This window comes from Homo sapiens, chromosome 4 (assembly GCF_000001405.40).
Source record: "Homo sapiens chromosome 4, GRCh38.p14 Primary Assembly".
Classification (NCBI taxonomy): domain Eukaryota; kingdom Metazoa; phylum Chordata; class Mammalia; order Primates; family Hominidae; genus Homo; species Homo sapiens.
Window position 1 is genome coordinate 81,485,347 of NC_000004.12, and position 10,311 is coordinate 81,495,657.

The 10,311-nt window shown below is 38.0% G+C and overlaps 2 annotated features.

Moving 5' to 3' along the window:
- Positions 1,061-1,606: an enhancer, noted in NCBI's record as "OCT4-NANOG hESC enhancer chr4:82407561-82408106 (GRCh37/hg19 assembly coordinates)". NCBI's record gives its function as "activates a minimal SCP1, AML or CMV promoter by ChIP-STARR-seq in primed H9 embryonic stem cells {active_cell/tissue: H9 hESC(primed)}" and the evidence as "EXISTENCE:reporter gene assay evidence [ECO:0000049][PMID:30033119]".
- Positions 8,278-9,477: an enhancer, noted in NCBI's record as "MED14-independent group 3 enhancer chr4:82414778-82415977 (GRCh37/hg19 assembly coordinates)". NCBI's record gives its function as "activates an origin of replication core promoter dependent on BRD2, BRD4, P300/CBP and CDK7 cofactors, and independent of MED14, by STARR-seq in HCT116 cells {active_cell/tissue: HCT116}" and the evidence as "EXISTENCE:reporter gene assay evidence [ECO:0000049][PMID:35650434]".

Sequence of the window (10,311 nt, forward strand, 5' to 3'; positions counted from 1 at the left end):
CCCCCTTTTGTTTTTTGATGTGATTGTGTGTGTCTCCTCTGAAACAGTGATGTACATTGTGACACATAGTTAACACACAAATGAGCTTTGATTCGTGACTGAAACCTGCTTTAAAGTCAATTCTCCCACAGGCTAACACCATTAGCACGTGATTAATGTTTCCAGGGCCTGGAATTAACCAGTGATAATTTTAGAATCTACAAGTATCCACATAATTGTCTCCAAATAGCTGTCTCTGAAGAGCGGTCAAGAACTAAAGTGAAATGGAGGTTGAATGTAAGGATATGTCTTCTTATTAGGGGGATGATTCATTTACTTCAGGTCTGTCATGACAGTCAAGGAGTGTGTTTGGAGATGTATTTGGGAGAGGAGACGGGGTGGAAGAATATGACTGTTGCTTGAAGTGGAGTTTGGAAAGTGTTGAAGAGATGAGGCATTTTCTGACCTAGACTATTGCTCAATAATTTAAAAGAGATTATCTCCTAAGTATGTAAGGAAAGAAGTCTAAGAAAGACTAATGTATGAATTTAACATCTCTCACAGCAAGAAAGTCATAGCCAAGGGCAAAATAAAATATCTTAGTCTGGATAAAATTCCATAGATAAATACGTGTCTTTAGTCTGTTTGTTGTTTTTTTTTAAGAACTCAAACTCTTGAATGCCCTGCCTTCTTAAGTTAAAAAGTCAAACACCAGCTGTTTATAAAAGGCAATCACAAACCCAAATTCCTAAATTCAAAAATACTAAGAAGTTTTATTTTTCTCCAAAATAGTTGAACTAAGACATACTTTTGAAAACATCACTAAACAGATACAGTTTTGGTTAGTCCTGTTCTTGCTCTTGCATTAAGGCTAATGACAGATATATTGCCATCCTTTGATTCAGAACACACAACAACAATAACAAAATGAACATGAATTTTGTTCTGTGTCTTTCCATAGGTGAGAAAAAAAAGCATATATCCTGCCAGAACAAACCCTTCCAAGTTTATCACAATGATAAACCTGAGGCACATCTCACTTGACAAGATACCTAGTAGGCTTCATATGTGAATACAGGAGTTTTGGGATCCTTTCTTAATTCCTTTTTCCTTCCTTCCTTCCATCCTTGCTCTTTTAAGATCTGCAAACTACATTGTGGTAGAAATTTTTCACTTCAAATTTAAGAGTAACAACCCATGCTTCAAGGAGGCAATGTTTGAACCTGTTAAACAATTCTTTTAGGAAGAAACAACCAGCATATTGAAATGAGTCATTTGCACAAAGGCTAGCAGAACTCATTCCAGAGCACACAGAAGGAGGGAGGAAATGCAAAACAGGACAACCTGTTGAGAGCAAACAGTGGAAGGGACTCATTGTCTCACCTGGGGAGAAAGAGCCTTTGGCGGATATTTCAAAGAGACTCTAGACAGTGTAGGAACAAATACAGGAACCTGCCATACTGGCTTTGCTGTGGGAGAAGCTAACATTTCAGATTCTTGGTGTTCTCAACTGTAAAATGAGGGGATTAGGCTGGTTCCATCTGGATACCTTAACAGCCAAGAGGCTTGCAGAGGCCCAGAAGTGATAGACTTGACCTAACCACACTGATATTAGGGATTATGGTCATATCTTTTCTCTGAAGCTCAATATCTGCATTATGCTAATCTTTATGATGCCCAAAAGATCCCCTGGGAATCTGCTTTGACTTTTCCCTAAGGCTTCGGCTTGTACTAAATACAGTGGCTGCAATTAAATGGACTATGGCATAATAATACCTCCACTCTGGGTCTGATTTAAGCAGACTTGAGATTCACCTTCAATGATGGAAGTTCTACTTCTGGAGTAATAATTTATCCGGCAGGTGCCATGGTGGTTTGCTGCACCTATCAACCCATCATCTACATTAGATACTTCTCCTAATGCTATCCCTCCCCTAGCCCCCCACCCCATGACAGGCCCCGGTGTGTGATGTTCCCCTCCCTGGGTCCATGTGTTCTCATTGTTCAACTCCCACTTAAGAGTGAGAACATGCGGTGTTTGGTTTTCTGTTCTTGTGTTAGTTTGCTGAGAACAATGGTTTCTAGCTTCATCCATGCCCCTGCAAAGGACATGAACTCATCCTTCTTTATGGCTGCATAGTATTCCATGGTGTATATGTGCCACAATTTCTTTATCCAGTCTATCATTGATGGGGATTTGGGTTGGTTCCAAGTCTTTACTATTGTGAATAGTGCTGCAATAAACATACATGTGCATGTGTCTTTATAGTAGAGTGATTTATAATCCTTTGGGTATATACCCAGTAATGGGATTGCTGGGCCAAATGGTATTTCTGGTTCTAGATCTTTGAGGAATTTCCACACTGTCTTCCACAATGGTTGAACTAATTTACACTCCCACCAACAGTGTAAAAGCATTCCTATTTCTCCACATCCTCTCCAGCATCTGTTGTTTCCTGACTTTTTAATGATCACCCTTCTAACTGGAGTGAGATGGTATCTCACTGTGGTTTTGATTTGCATTTCTCTAAATGGTGTTGGGAAAACTGGCTAGCCATGTGCAGAAGACTGAAACTGGACCCCTTCCTTATACCTTATACAAAAATTAACTCAAGATAGATTAAAGACTTAAACATAAGACCTAAAACCATAAAAACCCTAGAAGAAAACCTAGGCAATACAATTCAGGACGTAGGCATGGGCAAAGTCTTCATGACTAAAACACCAAAAGCAATGGCAACAAAAGCCAAAATTGATGAATGGGATCTAATTAAACTAAAGAGCTTCTGCACAGCAAAAGAAATTATCATCAGAATGAACAGGTAACCTATAGAATGGGAGAAAATTTTTACAATCTATCCATCTGACAAAGGGCTAATATCCAGAATCTACAAAGAACTTAAAACAAATATACAAGAAAAAAACAGAAAAACCCATCAAAAAGTGGGTGAAGGATATGAACAGACACTTCTCAAAAGAAGACATTTATGCGGCCAACAAACAAGAAAAAAAGCTCCTCATCACTGATCATTAGAGAAATGCAAATCAAAACCACAAGGAAATAGAATATAAATTATAATAGGATAATTAGAATAAAAAGTACACACTAACAAAAATTTTGTCTAAACCCTAATGCCCACAATACTTGATATCTAGTAGATGCTCAATATCAATTGAATAAATAAATGAGACAAAATATATTGCATTTTTAAATCTACTACCTACCTCCCCAAAACTCACTTTCCAGAATTATTCCCTTTCTTTTTTCCTTTCTCTCTTCCTTTCCTTTTCCTTCCTTCCTTCCTTGCTTCTTCTCTCTCTCTCTCTCTTTCTTTCTTTCCTTTTTGAGACACGGTTTCACTCTGTTCCCCAGGCTATAGTGCAGTGACTCCATCATGGCTCACTACAAGTCTGACCTCCCTGGGCTCAGGAAATCCTCCCACCTCAGCCTCCTGAGTATCTGGGACTATAGGCATGTGCCACCACACCCAGCTAATTTTTGTATTTTTTGGTATAGACAGGATTTGGCCATGTTACCCAGGCTGGTCTCAAGCTCCTGTGCTCAAGGGATCTGCCTGCCTCAGCCTACCAAAGTGCTGGGACTACAGCTATGAGTCACCACACCTGACCTTATTCCCCTGTTTTTCAACTAGCCTATCCATAAAGAAAATTGAGTTATAGACCCCAGGGGCCATGGATCACCCATAAGCTTCAGGCTAGGGGTATTCTGGGCTAATCTGTGCTTACTGGCCCAAATATAAACTTTGAAAGCCCTTTCCTTTGTTCTGTGCCCATTTATTGGCTCCTAAAGATGTTAGGTGCCCTGCTCTGCTACCTAAGAAGAGATAAATCTCACTGTTTTAAGCCTTCAGCCTTATGATGACCTACCTCTAAAGGTGGGTTTTAGAGTGACTCATTTTAAAAAGGCACAGAGGTGAGGTCTAACAAACTCATAATTTACTTAGGAAATTTCTCACCTCCCCCAAGCCAGGTCCCCCTTATGATTTTCTCATTTTTGATCATGATATTTTTATTCTCCTGGCCACACAGGCATGAAACTTCAGAGTCAGCTTGACCTCCTCTCTCAAGCTTCTTGCCTATATCTAGCTAGTGGCTATATCCTCTTATTTTGTACCCCCCAAAGTCTCCTACTTTCTTTTGCCATTTCTGGTCCCATTGGATTTGGAGATTAGAGAAATGACCGCCTACTTGATTACCACATCCCACCACACACACAGACTCACATATAATATACTGCTCTACTAGACTACCACTGATATGTGCTATATCAAGAGCATGAATTGCTCATTGGCTCCCAAACTGACATGGGTTTGCTATATTTAAGAAATCAAGATTCTTAACCAAACTTTCCAATCTTATCTCTTATTTACGGCTTTTTTTTTTTTTTTTTTTTTTTTTGAGATGGTGTTTCACTCCTGTTGCCCAGGCTGGAGTGCAATGGTGCAATCTCAGCTCACTGTAACATCCACCTCTTGTGTTCAAGTGATTCTCCTGCCTCAGCCTCCCAAGTAGCTGGGATTACAGGCATGCACCACCGTGCCTAGCTAATTGCTTTGTATTTAGTAAAGTTTCACCATGGGGTTTCAACATGGGGTTTCACCATGTTGGTCAGGCTGGTCTCGAACTCCTGACCTCAGGTGATCTACCTGCCTTGGCCTCCCAAAGTGCTGGGATTGCAGGTGTGAGCCACAGTGTCTGGCCTCTCTTATTTACACTTCTATATACACAGTAATTCAATTGAGTGGACTGCGTGTCTTTGGGGGAAAAAGATCCTAAGTTTTCCCATGTCTATGACTTTCTTCGTACTATTCCACTTACCTGGAATGAACTTGCATAGTCCCAAAATAGATTACTAATAACTATTTCTGCCTAAGTTTTAGAAACCCTTTGAAAATATCCTAATTTTAAGTTCCTAGAGGAAAAATTTAATACCTAGCACAGCCTTAATAAATAAATCATAATGACCATGATACTGATGGCCTAACACTAATAAACACATAGTTTTGAATACTAGTTAAGTTCTGTTGTAGCTTTTAGGGATTCAAAGCCATAGTCCCTGATGCCAAGTTGATACTTAATGGTTGCTTCAAGTGACTGGGGGATCCAGCATTGGCAATCACTTTGAACATCAGGGGTTTTTCCTGTATAAGCAGGAATTATTTATAGCCATACAAATTAAATTTCAGGGAAGGTGGGGTGGGTAGGGAATGACTAACATTATTGAGCACTATATGTATGTATATATGTATATGCCAGGGATTGTGCTAAGTACTTTCCACATATATTTATGTCATCTGCATAACAATCCCTATGCAGCATCTAGTAGTATCTCTATCTTCACAGAAGAGAAACCTGAAGCTCAGAAAAAGTGTTTATAAATTGCTTAAGAACAAATATCTAATAAATTACAAAGCCAAGATTTGGACCCAGCTGGGCCTGATACCAAAGATTATGTTCTTTGTATGACAAGGAGGACACAGTCTATGGAGCAGACACATAAATAATTAGGTGAATTTGCATTGTAATAAGTGCTGTAACTGAAGTAAATCCAAAGCAAATGGGCTTTCCATTACCTCAGTGCTTATATTGCAGTTTAAGGTGGAAGCAAAGCTGCGTAATGATCAAGATCACCCACAACGGAAACAGGAAGAGCTTGGTTCAAATGTAGCTCAGTGTGAACTTGAACAAGTGGTTCAATCATTCCAAGCTTCAGTTTTCTTATTCATAAGATTAAAATAATCAAGCTTATTTTAAAAATAAAATTAAATCATGCATATAATGTCATTAGCACCTTATCTGGAACATAGAACTTACTCAAGAAATTGTAGCTAATTAAATATAATTATCATCACTATTCAGTAGCCTCTTTCATCTTTAATACCTCGGCCTCTTCCAAACACCTTTAAAAAGTGTGACTATATTTGCTTATCTATATGTGTGATTTCATTTTGTGTTGTTGAAGGACCATTTGAAAGTTGCAGACACCCATAAAAATACTTTAATGTGAATCTTTTAAAAATAAGGACATTCTTGGCTGGGCACGGTGGCTCACGCCTGTAATCCCAGCACTTTCGGAGGCTGAGGCGGGTGGATCAAGAGGTCAGGAGTTTGAGACCAGCCTGGTCAACATGGTGAAACCCCGTCTCTACTAAAAATACAAAAGTTAGCTGGGCGTGGTGGCGGGCACCTGCAATCCCAGCTACTCAGAAGGCTGAGGCAGGAGAATCGCTTGAACCCAGGAGGTGGAGGTTGCAGTGAGCCGAGATCACACCACTGCACTCCAGCCTGGTTGACAGAGCAAGACTCCATCTCGAGAAAATATATATAAATAAGGACATTCTTGTGCATAGATAATGATATAATTGTCACCTAAAAAAAAGCAACAATATCCCCTAATATCCCTAATATGATCTAATTTCTAGTACATATTTAAATTTCCTAAATTGTTCCCAAGGACATTTTGAACCAGGATATACTCAAGGTTCATGTGTTATATTTGGTTGGTGTTTCTTTATTCTCTTTTAATTTTTATCAGTTCTTACCTCATTTCCAACCTTTTCTTGCTTTTCTTGACATTGTCTTTTTTGAAGAAGCCAGGACATTTGGCTTAGTACCAATTTCTGAACTTGTTTGATATTTTTCCTCAAAGTGTCATTTAACTTGTTCTTCTATCCTCTCTGTTATCTATACCTTGGAATGCAGGTCTTATGCCCCTATTGCTTTTAAGTGAAACATTGTGGCAAGAATGTTTCCAAGTCAATGCTACGTAGTTCATATTACTTCACATCAAAATTTCCATGACCACTTCCTCTTCAAAATATTGTGTGGTTTCCTAGCTATCTCTGAGGTCTGGCTAGACTAGTGGTTTCAACTCTGTCTTCACTTAGAAATCACTGGGGAGTTTTAAAAAAATATTTGTTCCTGAGTTATACCCCTAGAAATTCTTGACTTGGACAAAGGGATTGGTATTTTTGTAAAGCTCCCCAGGTGATTTTCATGTGTTAACTGGGGTAAAAAGGAACTGGTTTAGAATATAAGCTCTGAAAAGCAAGGGGTACACCTTCCTTATTTACTACTACATATTCTCAGAGTTGAGCAGATGGCTTGGCTCATAATTACTACTCAATATTACATGCTGAATTAATTAATTATTAGTTAATTAACATTCAGCTTACAGTCAACCTCATCTTCTTCCTTTCATACTTCTTCCTTTCATACTACATGGCGTACTATGAAGCCAACAGGTTAATTTTATAGCATCTTTAGAGAAATCACAATAGGCCACTGCTTTGCAAATTTCTGAAAACTACATATCAATGGGAAAAGAATCATTTTCAAACTTCTGAGAAAGGAAAAATGAGCAAACAATCATTCAGCTATAGTGTTACATTAGTTATGCTGCAGACAATTCACTCTCTGTTTTTCTTTTCACATTACCAGTTCTTCCAGTTCTTATTTTAATGACTGGTAGAAAGATTCCAAAATTACTTAAGGTGAAAGAAAGATCAGGAGTTTGTCTTGGTTGTAACTGTTGTTGTTTTAAAGATACTGAGCAAATTTTAACCATGTGGAGGAATGCTATAGAAAGAGAAGGATTTAGGGTATAGTTATACTTCTATTTGTTTGAATTTGACTTTGGCCAAATCCTAAGAACAGAATGAAAAAAGGTGTATGACTCATACGTGATTGCCACAATTCTACACCTGTAGCTTCAAATAAAAAGGAGTCAAGAATGAGTATCTTCTTGAAAAAAAAAAAGATAACCAGAGCAAATTTAGGAAATGATGAATATACACTTATTTACTGTACTGTTACTAAGTGAAAATCACTAATAATCCAATAGAAAATCAGAAAAAGACATAAACATACAGTTTGTACCTGAAAAGGCTTTTATACTGATAAAAAAGGGTCACTCTCACTCACAATAGCAAAATTGTAAATTAAAACTAATTCTGAGATCTTTTCCTTTAACTCATAAGATTTCCTTTAACTCATAAGAAAATCTACCATAGTGGAGGAATACGAATGCATATATGTTTTGATCAAATAATACCAACTAAGGAAAATTATTGTATAGATACCTTCCACTCATTATGTGAAATATCACATAAAGAACATTACTCATTCCATTATGAGAAAAGATTAGAAGCAACTATCCATCATTAGTGAATTCGATGAATAAATTGTATTTATTTAATAAATAAAATGTAATAACAGAATCAAACACTTTGCAGTATAATAGGAAACCACAGGGACACTACGTATTGATATGGAATGCTAATATATTGTTTAGTGAAAAAATATATAGAATCATTATGTAGAGTATCCTACAATATATATAAAAGAGGGAGACCAGGTATGATGACTCACATCTGTAATCCCAACATTGTGGGAGGCTGAAGCAGGAGGATCACTTGAGACCAGGAGTTAGAGAGCAGCCTGGGCAACATAGTAAGAAAAAAATGTTTTAAAAAATTAACTGGATGTGGTGGTGCATGCCTGTAGTCCCAGCTACTCAGGAGGCTAAGGTAGGAGAATCACTTGAGCACAGGTCTTACTCTGGGAGGCAGAACAAGACCCTGTTTTTGTTCGTTTGTTTGTTTGTTTCTTTGTTTATAAAAGGAAACAAGAAGGAATATATATTTGTACTGTAATATTTTATACATGAAAAATTGGGGTCAGATAAATAAGGAACTGGTAAGTAGTTAGCTATTTAGGGGAGGGGATGGGAACTTGGTGGGTGTAAGACAGTGGGTGGGAGAAACAGGAAGGAAACTTTTCACAAGACAGTTTGTCATATTTTATTGTGTTTGAACAGCATAAATATAGCACATATTCAAAAATCTAAAAATTTTGGAAAATCCCTATCAAAAGCCATGGGAAATGCATGTTTTTAAGTAGAAAGTATCCCAGACAGTCTTATATCCCTTATTCTTGCTGTGGAGTTTCAGAATCAATTCTATTACTTACCAGTTTCGCTAAAAATGAAACTGAAACTCTGCATACTTCTCATATACTTAGTCCTAAAAATAGACTCAGGGAAAAAACTCAGAAAAAAAACCTTCTCATGATAATTTTCAATATTGATTTTTGTTGCTTTACAGAATTACAAAGTTTTAGATTACACTTAAACATGCACTATTTAAAGCCAAACAGACCACTGTTGAAAGATATCCAAACCAAGGCATGTGCTTACATGATACTGAAGTAATGGTGTCAAAGTAAAATTAATCTTTTTCTCCCATCAAGCTCTCCATGGAATCCAAGAGAGGGAAACGCTATCTCACACAATGATGGAGAAAATTTCATCTAAGAAAATAAGGAATTATTATTATTATTATTATTATTATTATTATTATTATTATTATTTGAGACGGAGTCTCGCTCTGTCGCCCAGGCTGGAGTGCAGTGGCCCGATCTCAGCTCACTGCAAGCTCCGCCTCCCAGGTTCATGCCATTCTCCTGCCTCAGCCTCCCGAGTAGCTGGGACTACAGGCGTCCGCCACCACACCCGGCTACACCCGGCTAATTTTTTGTATTTTTAGTAGAGACAGGGTTTCACCGTGTTAGCCAGGATGGTCTCAGTCTCCTGACCTTGTGATCCGCCCACCTCGGCCTCCCAAAGTGCTGGGATTACAGGCGCGAGCCACCGCGCCCGGCGGAATTATTTTTTCACAGGCAAATCAATAAGATAAAAAGTAACTGTGGTTTGCTCATTTGCCTCTTAGCATCTACTACTTTGGGTTATCACTTATCTTTGTGCATGGATTCTATTACAAAAAAGTATGGGACTGTTATCATTAGCACTTTGTCCAGTGCAATGCATACGATAGATGCACCATAAAAGCCTGACCTACCACAGTGAAATATATGGGTTCTAGGGTCTCTGTGACCTTGACAAGTCAAACATTCTTTCTCTGGCTTAGCTCTCAATTTCTTTATCTGGAGGTGGAGTGCCTAACTTGGGATACCTCACAATGTTGATATAGTGGCCAAATAACACAATAAATGTAAAAGACTTTGGAAAGTATAAATGAAAGTTGTACTACTGTTACTGCAATTATGACACAGATATAAACAGATAGGGCAGAGGGGGGAAAAAGCTGATTCCAGAACATGCTTCATGGAGTCTCACTCCTACAGAAGAGCAAAAGGAAACCTAGGTAGGTTAAGTAACTTGCTCAAAATCAAGTAGCCAGTCAGAAGTAGAAGTGAAGACAAATTCTCATTCACATGTTTTGACTGAATGACTCATTTTTCTACTACTTTACTTCTATTACTTGGCCTTGAGAGCCTATGGAAAATGTGAAG